This window comes from Homo sapiens, chromosome 2, assembly GCF_000001405.40.
Source record: "Homo sapiens chromosome 2, GRCh38.p14 Primary Assembly".
Taxonomy (NCBI): Eukaryota; Metazoa; Chordata; class Mammalia; order Primates; family Hominidae; genus Homo; species Homo sapiens.
In genome coordinates, this window is record NC_000002.12 from 52,691,064 (window position 1) to 52,713,610 (window position 22,547).

The 22,547-nt window shown below is 36.6% G+C and overlaps 1 long non-coding RNA gene and 1 other non-coding gene across 3 annotated transcripts; both read right to left on the bottom strand.

Annotated features, from left to right (window-relative positions):
* Positions 1-239: 239 nt before the first annotated feature.
* On the bottom strand, positions 240-9,263 carry LOC105374598 (uncharacterized). 2 transcript variants are annotated; one of them, XR_001739462.2, is made up of 4 exons: positions 8,434-9,263; positions 8,052-8,154; positions 4,839-4,915; positions 240-570 (listed from the first exon to the last, which is right to left on the bottom strand). It is a non-coding gene; the product is annotated as an uncharacterized LOC105374598 (long non-coding RNA). The 2 variants fall into 2 exon arrangements; XR_940084.3 differs by having other exon boundaries at positions 6,772-8,154.
* A 2,195-nt stretch (positions 9,264-11,458) lies between these two features.
* On the bottom strand, positions 11,459-11,552 carry MIR4431 (microRNA 4431). Its single transcript, NR_039630.1, has one exon. It is a non-coding gene; the product is annotated as a microRNA 4431 (primary transcript).
* Between the last annotated feature and the right edge of the window lie 10,995 nt (positions 11,553-22,547).

A 22,547-nucleotide genomic window follows, 5' to 3' on the forward strand; every position in this document is an offset into this window, starting at 1 on the left:
AATCCCTTCCTCCCAGCTCACTAATGCTCAAGATTCCTTGATTCCCTTTACAGAGGCTAATCTTTTGGGACACAGTTAAAATAATACTTCAAATTAAAATGCCCCTGAGAAAGTTAAGAGAAATTCATTCTAACAATTGCTTAAGTGATCACTAATAACTCCTTCTTGAAAGCAGGAGGCAGACAGGAGATTGTTAGGTATCCTGATGGGGAATTGAGAGAAGGACAATGACAGTAAAAGAATGTCGCCAATTTTTATTTCAAAGATGGACTTAAGAGACTTCACTGTTTGGGCAAGACATTACCCTACCTAGGCGGTGATATGGTTGGATCAAATAAAACAATTTCCAGTATAGAAACAGCAAGTTGAAGGGAGTGTGCTGCCAATGGTGGATCTCTCTAGCCATTTTGGTGGAGAGCACCACGTGAAGTTTAGCAGCTTCTGGTAGGTGATTTACTGTCCAGTCATTGCACGGCATAGACTCAGCCCGCACCCTTGAAATCCAATTGATTAAAAGTTTGCCTTCAGTTACACAGAGTACTTTCAATTCATTTCATGAAGGAATCAGAGCTGGAGAAAGGAAAAGTCAAATCATAAATTGGTCTAAAAAGTTAAATCACCAGCAGAAGATTAAAAGAAGTAGAAGAGAAGGTCCTCTGAGGACATGTGGTGTGAAATGATCTGGAACAGATCTTCTTACTCACAATAACCAATTACTGTCTACACTACACTCTTCCAGCAGATAGTATCAGCAATTGCAGTTACTACAGGATTCAATCATTTCAGCAGAGACACCAGGATGTGCAATGGGTACTGATTATGGTCGGCATGTGAATGGAATACTCTTCTCACACATGACTAAAGATCAATTCCAAATTCAAGGTGCGTAGGTCCTTGGAAATGAATCAAAAGCAAACAAAAACTTCCATCTTTGCTAAAATTTTGATAACTGTACCACATCTATCATTTCTTGTGGCAGCTCTGACAGCAGCCAATTAGAAGAAAACTCTCGCTTTCCTATTTAGTGCATCTGAGGAGTAATCTGAAGGGTAATTACACAAGCCCTATGGTGAAAGTTTAGCTAATGAGCTTCTTCTGCAGAGTAAAAAATTTATTATTTTGCTTGTGGCAAGGTCTCAATATGAAATCAAAAAATTAATCCCATGTATTCTGTGGTTGAATTAATATAATCATTTGAAACTGTAATTCTGCCTGTGAAAGAAATAGCCCCTTTTCATTCATGTCTTGTGATATTTTGCCATTTTTAAAATTTAGCTTCACACTACAACTTTATGTAAAGCAGAGACTTTGGAGTAATATATTGACTGTCACTGCACTTCAAAAAGGGAATGATTAAAATAGACCCCAAAGAATTAATCATCTCTGCCTGCAATAAAATCTTACATATGATTTTTGGTGTATACTGACCTACTTTGAACCACATCAGAAAGTTCACCTGACAGAAAATAAGCAATATTTCTCATTAGATAAGTTTTAAAAAAAGATTTTGGAGATAAAAATTTGTTTACTTCATCTTCAGTCACTTTGATTCTATTACTTATTCTTCTTTATAATTCATATAGAAAAACTGGTTTATCTTAAAACCTGATTTCATTTGACATATAGATAACATTGAATATAAAAGGCACTTTGGTCTGATTGGAAAAGTAAGAAGTTAGAAGATAAACCTACATCCTAAAGTTGGAAAGTTTCAAAAGAAAATAATAGAATGTTCTTGGGCTTCAAATGCTTCATCTGATAAATGAGAATAATAATACCAAAATTACTGTGGAAGGTAAATGACAAAAATTTCAAAACATATTTTAAAGTTAAATGTGCAATATGAGTGCTGATAACATAGTATTTTTACTATTTAATGAAACAGTATTTTTATGAAAAATGCAAAAAAGTATTCATGTTTTTATTTTATAACTGGAACATGCTTCGTGCTGGAGTTTACTAGTTAACTATAATCAATAATAAAAACATGTACGGGCTCTGCATTTATATATTATGTAAGAAAGAATTCTTTTAATAATTTGCATGCCACAATTATACTCTGAAAAATTAAAAAAAACACAATTTTACCAAGCTGTTCGTGTTTTAATTAGACAAAATATGGACACCTTAGCCAATGGCAGTAATCATTAAGTTTGCCAAAGGCCTATGGGAAATCTCACATTGGAATTGTTTCCATGGGAAGTTTCTCTATGTTAGATATTAACAGACCCATCAATCCAATCTTGTAAAGAACTTGACATGACTTACGAAGAAATGGTCACAGAATGGTGACATGGAAGCTGAAGTACCCACTAAATGATGTCCATAGAAGGAGGGAAGGAACAGAAATAATGGGAAGGAAAGGGAAGCAACGGAAGGGAGGAAGGAAGGAAGGAAAGAAAGGAGGGAGGGAGAAAGGGAGGAGGGAAAGGAGGAAGGGAGGGAGGGAGAGAGGAAGAAGGAAAAAATAAAAAGAAGTTACCAGGCATAAGAAAGTTGAAGCCATAAGAAAGCAAAGCCAGAGTCTGAGAAAGGAGTGGAGAGTTTAGTGGTTGAGAGCAAGAGCATGAACCATGAGGAGGGTTTACTTATTCATAGAAAAAAACAAGAAGCGGTAGAAGCAGAGATGGAAACTTCTCATCACAGTGTGACAGTGTAAGGAGCTACAGATGCTTGGTGCTCGAGGGACAAGATAACATACTTTTGAAAACTGCAGCATATCATAATCCACGTCTACTTCAACTGGACTGTATGGCCTTTGAGCTAATTCCTTGTTCTTCATCACTGTTTTTCCCTCAGCTTCACAATTAGGCAATAATCTCCATAAAATGAGGCAATGTCTCCTTTCTTCTCAACCTACAATAACTTAGCTTGCCAAGACAGACCCTTGACAATGAGATCAACATTTTTTACCTCAAAGTTAGTCCATTCAGTTGCCTCAAAGTTAGAAAATGAGAGATTCAGACATCAGATTTTAGCTTTGCCAAGACTATTATTTACCTTCTTCTCAGTTAAATTTAAAAATGAAATGATTACAACCTCAAAATATCTAATAAATTCTGAGTTGACCCTTAAGGTTATGGCCCTTGCTCTTATTTTCTTCATTTCTGTATAATCTGAAGTCACACCACTACCTTTTAAATACTAGCAAAAACAAATCAAAAGAACTAAGATTTAAACTCAATTCCTTGTACCATCAACATGATAATTATTCAGAACCAGCCTTTTCAGAGGGTGAAAACATGGATTTAGAGGAGTATAATATCTCATATGTATAACCCATTATATTAAACACTTATGCATACACTTATACATACACATGCTATTTTAAACCTCATTTTTCAACCATAAAAGTAGTCAAATTGGGTTGTCTTTACCATCTACTTGTCAAATAAAGCAGTACAAGAAGTTTAAATGCTTCGTCCAGGGTCCTAGAACAATTCGGCAGAAGTGGAACTAAAAGACAAGTGTTTCAACTCATAGTCTATTTCCTTTTGTTGGTACTACATTTCCAATCATGTCTGTTACAGCCAAGAGGACTTCGGAAGAATTTCAAAGATTACTGGTGGCAATATAGCAGATTTAAACATGCTTGAATTATTGAAGGCAAGTGAAGAGATACTAAAAAAGATACAGCTCTGTGTGGAGAGAGATACAAGGCTGTGTTCTTAGAAATTTCTAACCCTCTGGAATTGGAGAACATTACACTAAGTAAAACAAGTCAGGTGTAGTTTGTCAAGTACTGCATATTCTAACTTATATGTAAAATCTAAAACCATTGAAGTTCTAGAAGCAAAGAATAGAGTGGTGGTAACAGAGGTTGGGGATGGAGAGAACAGGGAAGTGATGGCCCAATGGTACAAAAGAGATTAGACAAGAGAAATATGTGTTTTCTTGTTCTGGGTTATACTGCACAGTGTGGTGAATATAGTTAAGAATAAAGTATTACATATTTCAAAATTGAAGAGAGAGTAAATTTCAAATGTTCTCACCACAAAAAAGTTAAGTACTTGAGGTGATGGTTATGTTAACTAGTATGATTTAATTACTCCACATTCCATTCATAAATGTTGACATTATTTTTTACCCTGTACAATTATAAGTTGTCTATTTACAACTAAAAAAGAAATTCCCATCTCTCTACTTTTTATGTGACACCTATTGTGCTGTAAGCTGCATGTTCTTTAATAGATTAACCATCTCTGTCTCATAGGTTGTGCTCTTAATCCCAAGGCAGTCAATTTTAGGCCTGGGAACATTTTCTTAACTCTCTCTCAGGGCTTGCTTCCCAAGGGCAGGAAGAAAAAAGGATTTATTAATGAAAAGAGAATAGAGTGCTCTTTTCACAAAGATGTGACTGCGTAGGTATAACACACTGCCCAGGAATCACAAATAACTACTGTGAACTGATGACGAGAAACCTTAGGGATCAAAATAAAATGCTAAGCCACCATTCTAGGGAAAAAAAATCAGAGAATAGTTTAAAAAGTAGACAGCAAGCATGAATTTTTCATTACTTTTGAAAGAAGCAGTATAGATTTCTAGCAGATGAATTCTACTGTGATAATTTCATTGTCTTTCAAATATATGAATGGAGAAAATGGTTAATTTATTTTATGGGAGAATGATCAACTTTCGTGAGATTGCTCTATGAACACTTCAATTTTAAAGATGCCAGGTGTTTCTGAAATATTCCACCAAGTCAATCTGTGATGCAATGAACCTTCTTTGAACCATACTAGTCTTCAAATGCTTTGAGCAGTATGAGTTGATTGCTCTCTAGTTGTGACACAAAACCGTTAACTTAGACCTTCTTTCATCAGCAACTTGGAACTCACTTTCATCTCTCTGGTATTTGGAAGCTGTTTTTTTTTTTTCTTTCTTGGATACTTTCCTACTTTAGCTCAATAGCTTCCTGAAAAACATTCATGGAAGGTAATTTGTAAAGATCTTTTATCACTAAAATATCTTAGTTCTACCTTGTACTAAGAATTGCTATCAGTTACCATAGGCTAGGCATGTTAAAGCGTTACATGACACCACAGTTTACGTAGATGTGAGTAATTCTGGTCTGAGTATCTAATTCTCTTTCTCTTCTTTGCTTTTAACCAGTATTTTCTGGGAGACCCAAAACTTACTTTTTATACTTTCTATTGAGTTTTTTATATTTTAAAATCATATTTCTATTCCCTACAGCTCTTGTTAATACTCTTTAATAGCAGTATAGCAACCTGTTCTGGCTTCATGAATGTATTTTATCTCTCTAAGAATATTAATAATTTTCCAAGTTTTATAAATGCAATATCTGCATTTCTTTCAAATTGAATATTATTGTTTTGTTTGCTTTGATGCCTGACCTCAATATTAAAGAACTTTCTCAATGTTTAGTGTTTCTTGGCTAATTACTGATATTTATAGATGGGAATTGAAAGTTAACTGAAAACCAGGAGTAGCCCATGAAGTTTGTTAATTGTAGGTCTTTCGAGAGGTGACTGAACTTTTATGCTGGAAAAACATGACTATACACATCTTTAGGTCCTTTCTCTTGGGCTAAGCTGATCCCAGGGCATAATAATAACAATAAACACCTGGTATTTATTACATGTCAGAGTTCCAAGTACTTACAAGGTAATATTTTATTGAATCCCAAAAAATTTATGCGAAAGGTACTCTTTTAATCCCAGTGTTATAAATGAGCATACTGAGATGAAGAGAAATTGAGTAACTTGTCCAAAGTCATACAGCTAACTACTAGCACACAACCCAGCAGACTGGCTCCAGCATCCAGAACACCACATTGCCTCTTGTGTTCCCATTGAGAAGATATAAGCTCAGAGTTATATGGGTGAAAGGGCTAGGATTTCACCATTATTTGTGTGGACAGTTTTTCACTTAATCTCCCCGTGTTCCATAAACAGCCTTCAACACTACTTGGTGTTGCCTCTTGTACTCATCGAGTACCGAATCTTTGTGTTTTACCCTTTCTAGAGGATAAATCTTGAGGCTTCTACAGGATCACAGAAAGTTGTCCTACTGCTTGGAGGGAAGATCTGAAGTCTAAAGACTTATTAAGCAGATTTTTGACCAATCTTTTTATTATTAGCCTATCTTCTCCTGACTTCCAGTGGATCTAGTGCCATGGATTCATGAGATGTGATGTGTGTGTGTGCAAATCATGGTGCTTCACAGCTTTTACAATGGCCAGCTTAGAATTTAGATTTTCAGATGGGCCAAAGTTCTTTTGGTTTCTAGTTCCCCAAATGTTATCATCTCCTTCCCCATTTCTGAAAATGTTTCTTTTTCTTTTTTTTTTTTGAGATGGAGTTTCGCTCTTTCTGCCCAGACTTGAGTGCAGTGGCACAATCTTGGCTCACTGCAACCTCTGCCTCCCTGGTTCAAGCGATTTTCCTGCCTCAGCCTCCTTTGCAGCTGGGATTACAGGCGCCCGCCACCATGCCCGGCTAATTTTGTATTTTTAGTAGAGACGGCATTTCACCATGTTGGCCAGGCTGGTCTTGAACTTCTAACCTCAGGTGATCCGCCCACCTTGGCCTCCCAAAGTGCTGGGATTACAGGCATGAGACACCGTGTCCGGCCCGAAAATATATATATTAAAAAAAATTCCCTTATTGTTTTAATGAGTTATTAGCAGGGAGCAGAGACAAATTTTATATCAAATAGCCGATTTCAACTGGAACTTAGTTATTTTTTTTCATTCGAAAACATATATTTTAGATGAACTACTCTCCCACGGCAAGCATTGGAACTTACCTTGTGTAAGCAAATTTACTTGCAAGATATTACACCTGGAAGGGAGAATGATTATTTGCTGAGTAATCACCTGTATACCAGGCAATGGGAATAGACAATTTAATCACCTTCACTTGTTAATGTATTCATTCAATAAATATTAATATGCCAGACTTTACGTATAAATTAAAATAAGCTGTGGGGAGATGCTGTCCTCAGGGGGTATTTGCCAATTGCCTGAAGACATTTTAGTTATCACAACTGGGTGGGGGGTGCTACTGGTATCTATCGAGCATAAGCCAGAGATGCTCCTAAACATTCTACAATCCACAGAATAGTCGCGACAGCAAAGAATCATCTCGCACAAGATGTCAATAGCACCAAGGTAACGACACTGTGAAATAAAGTCTTGTGAAAATAATAACCAGTTCAAATTGTAAAGACCTGGTTTCTCCTACCAGCACTGCTTTAGCTCCTCTGATATTTGTGTCTTGGTTCGCTTTGATTTTATTTCAAAAAGAGAGCCTCAAATTGCATTGCTCTTAGCCTGTTACTTCATCTACAGAATGCTTCCGCTCAAAGAGGGAACATTTTCCCAAATCCTTTACTTCTGCTTTTTTCAGAATGAAGTAGAAGACTGCTCTCCTATAGCAAAAAATCTTCTACAGCAACAGCAATGAAGATCCAAAAGGGTGACGACCTAAGACAATCTGCCCCCAGCCTTGAGAATACTAGCTGGAAAGTGTGGGGGAGAAGTGACTTTGGCAAGAGTACTTCTGCTCACAGACAAAACAGGAAGTAGCTTCCTCCCCTAAAGAAAGCTAGCTCTTCCAGGGAGTGTGAAAGCCTACGTTACCTTTTGCGAATTCAAGAGTTGGTCTCATTGTGCCAAAAACTTAAAATAGATTCCACAACTGAAGGTTTCTAAAGTTGCTATACTTTTTGAAGAACATCTCATGGGAAAAAGTTTATTTAGGCAAAAAACAGACAGTTTTCTCCAGTCATAAAAGATTTATTGTGTGAGAGACTTGCTATACCAGAGACTGGAGATACTGTAACAAAATTCATCTGCCACAAAAATGTACAACTACTTTCAAAGATAATGAAAAATTCACAGCTCAGTTTTTTCTTTAACAGAATTGGTATCATTTTCAAGTAGAGTAAGAAGGCATATGTTCTTCAGTTTTAATGTGGAAAAGAAAAGCGTTTTATTTTTCTGTGAAGCTAGATGACAGTTCATTTCCCCATAATGACTTAATTCTTCATCACTCTGTCCTGACCAACCTTTCCCTCCATTTTACCTGAATCCTTAAGGGAGTCCACATCTTTCCTATTCTGACCTCCCGGATGTGGGTCTTCATCACTAGTTGTGTGTGTGCGTGCACATGTGTGTGCACATGTGTCCTGGAGTGGGGAAGAGGCATGTATTATTTCTAGAATTCTAAAAGAACAAGTAACCAAATGCTTTAAATTTATAGCTTTGTCCATGTTGCCCTGTTCCTCTAGGATTTTAAAATACAGGCTCATTATATTGACCAATTTTCACAATACTAACAGCAATTTTGAAAGTTGTCTGGTCATTTTTTTTTAAGGAAACCTCAACTAAGGTAAATACTTCTATAATTATGTCATTTACACTTGGCTTATTTTCTAACTTAACTATAAAAATGAACATAAAATTACCTTCTACTATCTTGTCTAAATCTTTATCTTTCTCTCCTAAATATGCTGTCAATATTGTGAGGGCCATTGCCCATTAGAATATGATAAGCAGTCGATTTTCTTCCCGCAGAACAGATATTTGAAACAACACAGTGGGTTCTTAAGCGAAGTCTATTATTTTCTCCAAGTTGAACTTGAAAGTTGCCAGACCAAGCAGAAAACAGATTGGTGGTGTTTCAGTAAAGGCAAAGCGGTATAGAGAAAATAATACAGTCTGTGAAGTCACACAGGCCTGATTTCAAATCCCAGCTCTGCCATTTACAAGCTGGGTGGTCCTGGATAAATTATTTAACCTCTGTGGTCTTCAGTTTCCTCCCAACTTTGTAGGGTTATTGTGAGTATTCAACTATACCAAGTTATAAGTGCATAGGTATTCAATCAGTGTTCATTCCCTTCTGTATCAAAGATTTATAATGGACTTTTCATGGAATTGTCTCCACCTATAATTATGTGACTGTGCCTTCAGATTATCAAAATTATATGAATTGTCCATGTGCCCTTGGTTCTGAATATTCAACTCTGTATTGCAGGAATGCCTACTCAGTTGCTTGAATGGGTCTTTGGAGTTAACAAAATGGCTGTAGAATTGAAAAAAAAATACTTAAATGCTTAATCACTTCAAAATTTTAGCTAACCCTTTGAAAAAGAAATGAATTTTCTGGGATCTTTTATAATTCAAGTAATACACCTTTTCTTAAGATCTTTTGTTACTTAAGTGAACACGAACATTTTCCTAAGACATATTAAACAAATAAATACGCACATAAAATTGAAATATATAATTATATTTTATGACAGTATTGATATAAAGATGAAAATGTACGTATATATTCAAGCATTTTCTTAAAACAAAAAATTAGTTTTTTTCTGATTTAAAAAATGAAAATATTTTCATGGGCCCCTAACAGTATCACAAGCCCTAGGCACTGTGCTAGCTTTGTCTGGTAGATAAGCTGGCTCTGACTTCTGCCATACTCTGTTGGTCAAAGCAATCACAGGGCTTACTAGATTCAATGGGATGGAAAATTCAGCTCTACTTTTTGGTGGGTTAAAGTCAAGGAAACATTTCAGAAGAGTGTGTGGATGGGAGATACTGTACAATCATCTCTGGAGAATAAAATCTGTCAAAATGAAAGTGCTTCTGAGAAACATGTGCCCTTTTGCTTTCTTTCTTGGAATGTACCTATATAATAACTGAAGATCTACTATTCCCAAAATCATTGAGAGGGCTTAAAGGAATATTTTCTGATACTCAAGATTTTCAGGGAAATGTAAATCAGCCATACTGTTTTCAAAATGTTGCTATACAAATATAAAGATATATTGTACACTCAGGAAATTGTTGCTGAAACAATTATAACTTTATAGATATTTTCAAAAAATCTAAGTGTGTTTATGTGAAAATAATTGCATAGGCAAGTCAAACACGATACTAAGGAAACTGATGTTATGTTGCTTCAATTTCAATGCAAAGTAAAAGCCTAATAGAGTAAACAGGTATCCATACCATATCATCAAATGGAATAAAAGAGTTAGTATAACTCTTTTATTTTATTCATCAAATGAATAAAAGAGTGAGTATCCATGTTGGTTTAATGGACCTGACTGTTTTGGATGTATCTTGGTGCAGAAGACAATACCTGCAATGTCCTGAGAAATTTAAGTCTCTCTCGTTCTCTGTCTCTGTCTCTTTCTCTCTCAGGCATGCACACACATACACACAATCTGTTATGTCCAGTTTAACAGAAAAAAATAATTCTAAATAACAGGAATACCACATGTAGCTGACAAAGTGGAAATTCAGTATATTAAAGATTACCCTGGGTATTTTTCTCTCTCTTCCATAGAAATACAGGGCTATTTTTATTAATGCATGGTAATATACTAGACTGTGGTTGTATAAGTCCACATACTCAAGGCTATTCCAAGATACCAATTATAGCAGCACTGGGTTAGCTTGGAAGGCTGGAATGAACAGATTGTCTGGTCTGGGGAAGACTGATTTTACCTGTATAAGACAAAAACTAAGTCAAAATGGAGAGCAACACAGTATCATACAAAATAATCATTTCAAGAACATAACATGTAAGAATGGACTAGACTCCTAAACAATTTTTAAAACATCACAAAATATAAACTAATGTTTGAAGAGATAACAATAATTTAGACACTAATTTTGGTATTTCAAATGTAGAAAAAAATCAGTCTTTTATCCATCCAGCACTCATTCTTTTGCAAATTCCACCTCACCACTGTTTGGAGAAATCACCAACCCTACTCACTCCCAGAATATAGTTTAAATTTAAGGTTCCATCTTATAGCCTTACCTCTACTGCCACAGAATTGATCTGCTGTGGAGCTTTAATACAATTGATTTTACTCAGGTATTTTATAAAATAATTCTCAGAAACTGATAATTGCAATAAACAGTTACCAAGTACTATATTATGTACCAAGTACTTTTGCCTATGTTAGCTTATCTAATTTTTTCAGTAGCCCTAAGAAGAGATATTATTAGTCACACTTTACAGATGAGAAAATGGAGGCACAGAGAACTTACATACCTGATTGGGGTTACACAGGCAGTAAGTACAGTATTTAAACCAAGATTAAAACTCAGGCAGTCTAACAGCAGAGCATGTGTCCTCAGCTATTATGTCATTTTATCTTTAGGGCATCAAATTTGGAAAGAGTAAACATGGCTACAGGAAAACTCCAGGGAAAATGTTAATAATGATTACTTTTAATTTGTCTAAAGGGGTTAAGCTTATTACAAAGTTTCAAAAACAATGCTTATTGTGATTAAATCCTTCTTATAATTACAGATATACTCATAAACTGTAAAGTTCAAAGTTTCAAATACTTAAAGAATATAAATTACACTCTTTTTGAAGCTATTATGATATACATACCTGTCTTAGTCCATTTTGTGCTGCTATATAGGAATACTTGAAACTGGGTAATTCATAAAGAAAAAAGGTTTAATGGGTTAATGACTCTGACAACTAGAAAGTTCAATATTGGGCATTGGGTGAGAAATGCCCAGTCATAAACCTTCTAGTTTTCAGAGTCGCAAACCAATTAAACATTGAGCTTCTTCCACTCATGGCAGAAGGCAAACGGAAGCTAGAGTGTGCAGAGACATGGCAAGGGAGGAAGCCAGAGAGAGAGGATGTACCAGGCTCTTTTTAACAACCAGCTCTCAGGGAGCTAATAGAATGAGAACTAATTTACCCCTGAGGAAAGGCACTCATCTATGCATGAGGAATATGCCCCCCATGACCCAAACACCCACCATCAGGCTCCACTTGCAACCTTGAGATCAAATTTCAACATGAGGTTTGGAGGGGACAAACACCGAAGCCCTAGCAATACCACATGAGCTTTTTTATTGGGAACTTATCCATGAAAAAGCACCTATTCATTTTACTGGAATTAAGGTAGAAATTAGTTTCTCAGCTGATTAGAAAAACTGTGTCTCACTGCTATAAAAGTAGCATAGAACTCTTCACTGTTCATTAATGGCGGATCTGTGTCTGATTCCAGCCCTCACTAGGCTCTAAGATTTGGAGAACAGACATACTCACTTGTCCTCAAGGTTAGCCAGAATAGAAACAAACTCTGGTTTCTAAAGGTGTCGCTTTGAGAGTGGCCAGAAGCCTACACTTGTTTTGTCAATAAATCAAAAGCTTTGGTCTCCTGGGCTGTTTGCCCTATCCCTTTCTTGCTACTTTATTCTTCCTAAACAATAAATCAATAGGCCAATCCTAGCCAATCCTAAAATGTTTCAGCAGGACAAAGACCAGCGCATTTTTTGGAGCTAAACTTTGTGTTTCTTGCACGCTCTCTGGATACAAATAATACAGCTCTCACTTTAATGTGTGGGGTTAAGAGAGAATACTTTGTAAGTATATATGACACATCAGAGTCTATAAACTAAAGTTGCTTCTTTCCTTGAAATTGATCCTAAAACTCAAGTTGTGAAGTCATAGTGTAAAATAGTCTCTAGGTCGTGAATAACCCAACTTTGGTGCCTCCTGTGATCTTTTTATTCTGGAACGCTGCTTATATTATGTGTCTCACCTCCCACTTCCACCAGGGTCAAACTTTTTATTCTCAGGTGAGCTCCAAAATCCAGACTCAGTAAAGCAATGAGAGGATTGATTTATTTCCCCTGTGATTACTCTCTAAAGGGAGGAAGCCAGGAACTGCTCTTCATTGTTATACTTGAAAGGAATTAAAAGTGATTCTCTTAGAATAGCTCTAAGAGACATTTTCCAGGCTAGCTTTTTTTTTTTTTTTTTTTTTTTTTTTTTTTTTTTTTTTTGACAGAGTCTTGCTCTGTCGCCAAGGCTGGAGTGAAGTGGCATGATCTCCGCTCACTACAACCTCCACCTCCGGGGTTCAAGCAATTCTCCTTCCTCAGCCTCCCGAGTAGCTGGGACTAGCTTCCTTTCTAAATGTCCAATTCCTTTCTGATTGTAACATGTAGAATTAAATACTCAAACCACCATAGGACATACCACTATACTTCTAGAGTTGTAGCATCCAAACATCAGCTTCTTTCATCAGTATCTTAGCTTTCAATTTACTAACATAACTACAGTTCTGTGCTAACATTTATTTTTCCTGCGCTCTTTATATCACTCTCTCAAGCATCATTGTAAAATTTCTACCTTCTGTTGACACTCCTTTACTAGTTCCAACTTTCAGTTCATTTTGTAATTATTTGCATGGAGTAGTTGATTTCTTATTGTTTATATTTTTTGTTTTCTGTATATTGTGATGTTTTGACATCTCAAAAGTTTTTCCAGCTAGGGAAATACAACTTCTCCCAAGGACAGCTAAGAGATAGTGAAGAATAAAGCCAGAGCATGCTTTTGTTATACAAACTAACCAATCCAGAGCCATTCCCTTCTCTGCCTGGCCCTACTCTCTAAGCAGCACTGTTTCTCACCTTAATCATCCCAGTACCAGGTAGCAGGCAAATAGGCACCATTGTAACATCTTCAGCCCTGCTGAAATTATTCAAACCAGCCAATTCTAAACTATTTACTCTGCCCTGCCTTGCCTTTTCTGTGGAAACAATAAAGATTTGTTTTGTTCTCATAAATGAAGTCCAGATACTGTCAGGTGTTGGAAGTGGTCCTGTTATTCAGTGATGCCTTTGGAGATATAGGCTCTTTTCATCTTTTGAATCCACTCTCCTTATTATGCTTGTCTTTGGCCTTAAGATTAAAATCTTGGGGACTATACAAGAACTATAGCTCCATGTAATTTGACTCTTTTCAAAGCAGGAAGAAGTCAAAACATGTTTAGGAATGGGCATCTGGAAAAGGGCAGCCTCAATATGTTTCACAAAATAATATATTAGGGACATTGTATACATGAGTTATTCATTAAGTATCCAAGTGAGTAATGTGCTTCTCAGAATAGGTTTCTGGCATAGAGAATGGTATTGATGATTAGAGACATGGCAATAAATGACATCGATTAGAGTTAGATTCTGAGACAAAGGAGAAATGGGAGAATAGGGGATATATCAATATATAAGATACTTAAGATACTTGATTAGAAAAAGAAGCCAGGTGTATTCATCTTTTCTCATGCTGCTAATAAAGACATATCCAAACTGGGTAATTTGTAAAGAAAAGGAGGTTTAATGGACTCATAGTTCCACATGGATCAGGAGGCCTCACAATCATGGTGGAAGGTGAAGTAGGAGCAAAGGCATGTCTTACATGGTGGCAGGCAAGAGAGTGTGTGCAGGGGAAATGTCCTTTGTAAAACCATCAGATTTCATGAGACTTATTCACTATCACAAGAACAGCATGGGAAAAACCTACCCCCATGATTTAGTTACCTCCCACCAGGTTCTTCCCACTACATGTGGGGATTATGGGAGCTAAAATTCAAGATGAGATTTGGCTGGGGACACAGCCAAACCATATCACCAGGTCTGAGAACCAACGATGAAAGTATAAGAAGGAGAACTAGGAAAAGGAGTATATTAAAAAAAAAAAAAAAAAACTAAAGCAAAATTTTCTTAGGATGTACCACAGTCTACAAGGTGGAAAAATAAGAGAAGGAATAAGAGCTATGTGGCAGTTAGATGGACTTTTGTAACTTTTATAAGAACAGTTTTCATTGAGTGTGAAAAGAATTGCTAGCCTACTCTATATCGAGGCATGAATCAGAAGCATTAAATCAAAATGGGCTGTAGACAACAACCTCCAAAAGTTTGGTAGTAAGGAGAAAGGAGGAGAAATTCAGAATCAACAAGAGATTTTTCTTTTTAATGGAACAAAAACTGTTGTTAGTGTTTGGAGGATTAGAGAACACCTGTAGGCTGAAGTGGGAAAAGAGTGAAGAAAATGATTGAAACGAGAAAAGAGAGTAATTTATCCAAGTCCCACAAGAATTCTGAGCAGTTGGGTCAAGAGTGCAGGTAAGGTTCTGAGTTTCAGAGAAAACTCAGTTTCCTTTTTTGTGATTTTTGTATTCCTTAAGTTTTCACAAATAATCACATATCACAAATATAATAAAAAGAAAAACAAATTATCTCTATGTTCAGCTCATGTTAAACCTGGATTCAAGTAGAGACGATGCATGCAGGGAGCCCCATGCACTGCCCGGCACCTGTTCACATAGTTCTCTTTCCTTCTTCTACTGAGTTAAGAGTGAATAGTAGATAATCAATGCATGATGATTTAGATAGTCTTAGAAATGGGCACAAGGAAATTTAATGAAATTCAACAGCTATGGTTTTTCTATATCTTAAATGATGCTAGGCTTAGAATATCTTTAGGCAAAAAGCAATAACAAATTAATACATTCTCTGATCCCTTTCAAGAAGGGATTCATCTATTTCTGTATGGTAGCTATTAAAGTAATGCTTATGATTTAGATCTTATGAAAGTACAATTCAGTTCATTAAACTAAGGGGCTGGAATTCCTGGATACATGGCTGCAGTTCTGACCTTTTCATCAGAGCTCTTCAGCCCCCAGTTTTGGGAGCTCAAATCCTATCATTTGAGAGAAATGCCAAAGGCAGACTGCCTTATTTATTGTTTTTTTAAATGCTGTAACTAAAAATAACCAAAATAATACTAAAATGGTTCTCATTTAGTAGTATCAGTTTCCCTGGGGGTCAGAGAGGTAACATATTTGGATTCTTGAGAGGGAACAAATAACTTCCAAATTTCCTATCTGTAGGCTTATTAAATTCTAAAAGCAAACTTACACAAAAGATTCCAGGCCATAAAGAATGTTATCACATGTGTAGTGCAAAATCCAGCCCAAACCATTTCAAAATGCCTCAATAACCTTCCATTATACTTTACACTTTGGACTCCAATTACCTTTTCATGGCTGCATGGGATAAGTGTCCATTTACTTGAGAGGTATGATACTTCTACATTATCCACGTAATGCTATCTCTTGAGTGTGCTACAGGATTGCTAGCTGAAAACAGCTTTCTTTTAGAAAAAGAGGGGATAGCTTTTCTTTTATTTTTTCCAACTTTGTGGGTACCTATTAAGTAGACCAGGGAGGAAGATACAATCTTTGTTTTAACCATTTGCTATATCAAATCTGTAGAGTACCTGCTCTTTGTTGCTGGAGTGAGAGCAATCAATAATAACAAAATCCAAAGATAATCCCATTGCTCCTCTTGAGAGGATATGCTTCACATGCTAGAGTGAACTACCCCATACTTCCAACTTCCCTTCAGTCTTTGTATATTTCACAATTAAGTGATCTTTATCTTCTCAAATAGAACTAAATTAAGCAACTGACCAAGGCATTTTAAACTTTCAACATGACCAATGTACATGTGGTGAAAGTCATCATAAAGTCCGCACCTATAGCATCTGTTCCAGCACTCTGTATTTACAATTAATTAGGAAATACGACAGCAATAATGAGTTCCACTTGAAAGAATTTCTTAAGATACAGAACCATAAAATGAAGAATTACCTTTACTAGAAACTTTTGCATAACTTTTAAAATTGTTAATATAACTGATATATCCTGGTTTAAACATATGTAGAAAATAAGTAAGCAGGTTGACATTATTTCTTTCTTTTTGCCTGCTACTGGGAGAAGAGAAGTAGGTACCTTTTAAATGATACAATTAAACGCTTTTGCAGGTACAATTTTGCCCTTTGGGGATGTAAGCATTAATGGAATAAAAATTTCAAAGATATTAGAAAAAGATTATTAGATAAAAATGTACACATAGTTTTTAGAATGTATCAGCCATTTATGGCAGCCCCCAACTTTTGAAATCCCTTCCCCATTCTGGCGGTTCACCAGTATCACGCATCTAGCCTTCCCTAAGTAGAATTCCTAAATTATTATTCTCAGGCTCCACTGACTTGAGGTGTAAACATTTGACCAACCTCCTCAACATTAGGTGTAAACATATGACCAGCTTCCTTTCTCTCTTTCTAGCAGACAGGAAAGACAAACGTGAATATTGTGTGACTGAGGAGTTCTGGCAAGCATAGCCTCATTGAGTTGTTGGGTTTGCTGCATCAGCCATAGAAAAAGTGCTAGCTGTTGATTCCTGACTTCATGGACTCAAGTAACTAGTAGAACCAGCAATCGGATTTCCATTAAATTAGTTTAGGCGTGTCATAGGTATTGCTCCTATTTTAGGCTCTATAGCATTCACATTTGATACCTGGTCCTCTCGGACATTCTGTAAGATACCAAATAACTTTTAGAAGTACTTGCCTGATGGAAGCAGTGCCACCTACAGAGGTCGTTTACTATTTCAGAACCTATAAATTTGACCCCAAAATGCTATTTTTTGTCAAACTTATTTTTATGTCATTTGATTTTCCAATCACAAAGGGACATTTCTTTATAATAAAATATTGTATTAACATAAATATGATAAAAATATGTGATTTTTCCGTAGGTGACCCACTTCTCCCAGAGATGTATTCTCTCAGAATAAATTATTATTATTTTATGTTTAAAGATTTTCAATTACTATATCTATTTCTATAATGACTTTATCATACCTAGAAAATACCCATATCCGGAGTCCCTATGAGTAGGTTCACAGGACTTCATTTATAACGTCATGCTACCGTCAAGTGAAATTGAGTGTCACAGGTGATAACCCCTTCAGTAGCTCCACATGTCCCAAAGGAAAAAATCACAAAGGAAAAACAAACAGACATGTCCCAATTACCTGCCGTACTACTTCTAATACCATATGACTTATTATTTATTGTTTAATGTTTAATTTCTGCCCCACTAGAATGTATGATTTGTCATAAGGGCAGGAGGTTTTGTTTTGATCATTGATGTAACCCAAGCCCCTGAAATGGTATTGGAACACCTTTGAAAGAATATTTATTGAATGAAAATAGTTGGCTACTTTGAGCCTTTAGATAAGTGGGGAGCTACCATCTCTATGGCTTACTTTTAGGTCACAATCCTCTGCTTGATAAATCTTATTCAAAACTGATCCCTGATACGTGTTCCATGAACAATACTGAGTTTTCTCCCATTTTTACTAGTCTTTGACTTCCAAAAGGGTCAAAATAGTAGTTGAATATGCAGCATCTTTTTAAAACTTTTTTAAAACATATTTTTAAAACTTTTTCTTATATTCTGAAAAATTATAACTCAGTTTAACATAAAAAAACAAGTAAAATGAAAATAAATTTACATAATCTATGAGCATTTCTGGAAATTTATGTCAATTTTATGGAAGTTTGAGTTGAGAAATTTTTCTTCCTAGTGTCAGATTTTTCCCCCTCTACTATTCAGTGTGGTGTACTGTAAACATTGCTTGGTTTCAAGGCAAACTGTGGCAGAGACAGGAGAATGGGGGTTGATTTTTAAGTACAGTCATACTTCTGACTTCCAGTGAAATGTTGTTACGAAAAACCTGAATGTCATACAGTTAAAAAAGAACAGTGACAAACAGTGTCTCATTCTATACACTTTTATATACATTAGTTTATTTAGTGCTTGCAAGAGCCTATTGGCATAGGTATTACAAACCAAACTTTTAAAGATATAAATGGTAGCCTATCCTTTACTTTTACAAAGCTTTTAAACATATATCCTAACACGTTAGATTTTAGTATTAATATGGTATTTCATTTACTCCAAATTTGAAGTAATTTTATCACTAACTGGATTTGTAATCGTAAAGCCATAGGGTAATTCACAACATGTCAGCTGCTTTCATAAGAATGATCCAACTAGAAGAACCAGAGAGACAGAATTCCATCCAAATTAATGAAAGTCTCAGTCTTTTGTAACCTAACTGTGGAAGTGATATTTCATCCCTTTTGCCATATTCTGTTTATTAGAAACAAGACATTAGGTCCAGCCCACACTCAAGAGAAGATTCTAAAGGGTGTGTATATCGGGAGGTGGGGATCAGTGGGAGTTATTTTGAGTCCTGAGATACTTGTGAAGGAATATGTCAGACATTCCTTTCTCTCTTTTTTTTTTGAAACTGATGTTTATTTTCCATCAACCTTATTTCCATGTTGCTTAAGACCCTGTGCAAGAGTAGCTTAAGACCATTCAGTGGTTGCTCCTACCCATTCAGTGGCCTGAGCAGACATTCCTTTCTTTAAAGACCTGCCTCAACTTCCTTCCTCTCAAGGTGAAATGTAAGAGATGAGCACAAATATGATGCTTCCCATCACAGGTCCTGTCATGTTCTCATGACATGACACCAATATGAGCCTGTTGCTCATATTTACTCTCCATCTCATCACTCCACATTTTCTCACCTTTATGGTTCTTGTGCTAGTAGATGCTTCTACCTACTACCTCAGTATCTACCTGCCTTAGGCCACTTCTTGTCTCTCATAGACTTTCTTACGGAACTGAGTCACAAAAAAGGCACACACTCAAACTTTTACTCAGTGCTTTGGGTATGTTCTGGGCTTCGGACATATCTAACTTCAAACGCATAATGCCTGAAGGAGCAGGGATCATTTTCATTTTAGAGATAAGTAAAATAAAACTTGTAAAAGGTAGGTGCCTGTCAACATCAGGCAGCTAGTGAGGGAAAAACTTGGATTCAATCACAGATGTATGGGAATTCGAACCCAGGCCCTTCACCTCTGCCTTGTTAGTAAATCTTGCCCTTGACATCATTTTCATATGCTTTTATTACATCTTACATACTGGCAAATATAATTTAATTCTTTTGTATGAAAAACATTTCCAATTTGATAATAATTGCTTAATAACTGCACTGAGTTTAGAGTAATCCTCTATTTCTGACCATTTGTGTTACATTTGCGGTTATAAAAATCTTCACTTACAAATGAGGGGGAAAAAGATACAGAGGGATAAATAATTTGCCCTTTCTCACACTGTTATTTTTGCATAAATTGTTAGTTCTCCCTCACTTCAACATATTTGCTCTTTGCAATGTCTTTTGACAGCTGTCTTTTTGCATGCTGTCTTTTGATCAGCTTCTTCTTGCCTGTGAAATATCAGCATGATTAAATGACATATGATAACTCTGGCAACTTTGATGTGTTACCTTCCAGTCTATCCTTCATTCATTACCTCTTTAATTGGCTAAGCAATCACATATTTGCACTTACAATGTGGCAGCATAATTCATGCCAACTTCTCTCCTTAGGGCTCGTGTGACCTCAGTGCCTAATACAGCCTCCATCTGCTCCATTTCACCCACTATTCTCTATTATAAAACCTCCTCAGCTATTACTGGCTGACCTCAGGGCCCCTCACACTGGCCATTTGCCATATGCAGTGCCTTTCAGTTACCCGCAATGTCAGGGTTTCAAATGCATTTCCATTACCATCCTTCCCTACACTCTACCACAGCATTAACCCTGCCTGCTAGCCAGAGACTGTTCTCTCTGAAATGCGAATGTCCTGGGGAGAGTGCAAACCATGCCACTCCATTTTAACTAGCCTTCTGAGGACCAGTTCCCAGTCCTTAAACACCTCGGCTTCATCTGTTGAATCTATTAGGCATAAGGCACTGTGAGAGTCTTTAGAGAGCATCTCACATTGATTCATTTGCTACCCAGGCAGCCAAAGAACCAGGGCAAAGTTATATATTGTCATGGCATTTATTAAGCCTGATTCTGTCCTCAGTGTGCAGGGGAGTATCACTTATAGTTAAGAATACCCCAAAGTTGCCATTTATCTTACCCTTTCTTTAAGAACTCTCAGTGCTTCTGCTTGAGTTTTGTGGAACTGCTACACTCTTTAAAAATTATTCTCTATCCTACCTCCACGTTTTTACCCTCTGTGTCCACTCTATTATTCACTGATGGAAAGTGCACCCAACACAATCAGGGCATCTGAGAAATACAGCTGATACCAAATGTTTCATCCCTCAGCTATCCATGCGAGTCTGACAATTGATTCATTGTCCTCTTATTTCTCTAGTCTCCAAACATATGGCTTCATATGTTAATAAAATTGACTCTACCTGTTCAGGCTAAAGCTTGCATGGGTGCACTTTTGCTTTTATTTTCAAAGACTTTAAAAAGAGCTGCATCTCTCCATGACAATTTCCTAGGATAATAAGCAGAACCTTTTAAGGAAAAGGTTTCAATTTGCCTCCATAAAAGAGAATACAATGTAATCATTATAATTTTCATCTGGCAAATCAAACTGCAACATCTCTCTGAGGGTTAGCATGGAGTAACTGTGTGAGTGGTAGATGTATGGCTATCTTACAAAGAATAGCTTGTTCACATTACTATACACTATTAATTTCTATCAAGTTTATCAACTGAATTTATTTCATTTTCTTTTGATTTCTTGTCTTCTTATTGAGGAAATGACCCTAATTAGCATAGATCAATGCAGTCTCCAAGGTGGAAGAATACACGAGCTAAAACTGTACATTTCTGGAACGGACTCTCCTACTTTTTGCTAGAGGCCATGGGGTAAGTTGAATACCTTTTCTGAGCCTCAATTTGCCCATGTAGGAAAAGGGAATAATGGTACACATTATTGTTGTGAAGATTAAATGAGCTAAATTAAACAAAGTGCCAATTACAATCTCTACCACAAGAAAGTGTCCCAATATACGCTTCCATTTTTTTTTTTTTTTTTTTGAGATGGAGTCTCACTCTCTCACCCAGGCTGGAGTGCAGTGGCACAGTCTCAGCTCACTGCAACCTCCACCTCCTGGGTTCAAGTGATTCTCCTGCCTCGGCCTCCCAAGTAGCTGGGATTACAGATGTGTGCCACCACACCTAGCTAATTTTTGTATGATTAGCAGAGACAAGGTTTCACGATGTTGGCCAGGCTAGTCTCAAATTCCTGACCTCAAGTTATCCACCCGCCTTGGCCTCCCAAAGTGCTGGGATTCAAGGCATGAGCCACCATGCCCAGCCAGCTGTTATTTTTATAAGAGAGACAAGAGAAACCATGGAAAGCCTTTCACTCCCCTAAAATCTCTATCAGAGCTGCATTATGCTTCTGAGGAAGTACTGAGAACATCTCTGCCTGTAGTGGCCTGTATACCTGTTCTGGATAATGCCAAACAGTGTCTGTGTCCCCTGGGTCCTATATTTTGGAGCACTGGGCTGATCAGATTAGTCTAGGCTGCAGTGGACTCTGCCAGCAGGTTCCCACTGCAGGGAACAGGAGTAACCTGAACTGAACAACCTCCCCAGTAGATTCAAACTTATTAAACCATTCTAACAGATACATTATATTATTGCCTTTCTTCCCACAGCAGAATAAGAAAAAAATGCACCATTTTAGCCAAACCTGACATTAACCATATGCCAAGCCTCTTGATGAGACCCACATACATATGATTCTACATCTTGCAAAGCTCACTAGGTGGACTTCATGAACTTTATTCACTGGAAAGCTGTAAGTACCCTTGACATCAAAGGCAATCAATACCCCCCAAAAAGACCATCTGAATACAGGTCAAGAAGCAGGAGCTATATCTATGACTCCAGAAGCAGAGATATTATATATCCCTAACTAAGAGTCACAGGGGATTTCTTGAACTAAAATGAAAGACAACAGGATAAGATGAAAAGCAGTGGGCCAGGGCCCAGCTTAGCCACTAATCATGT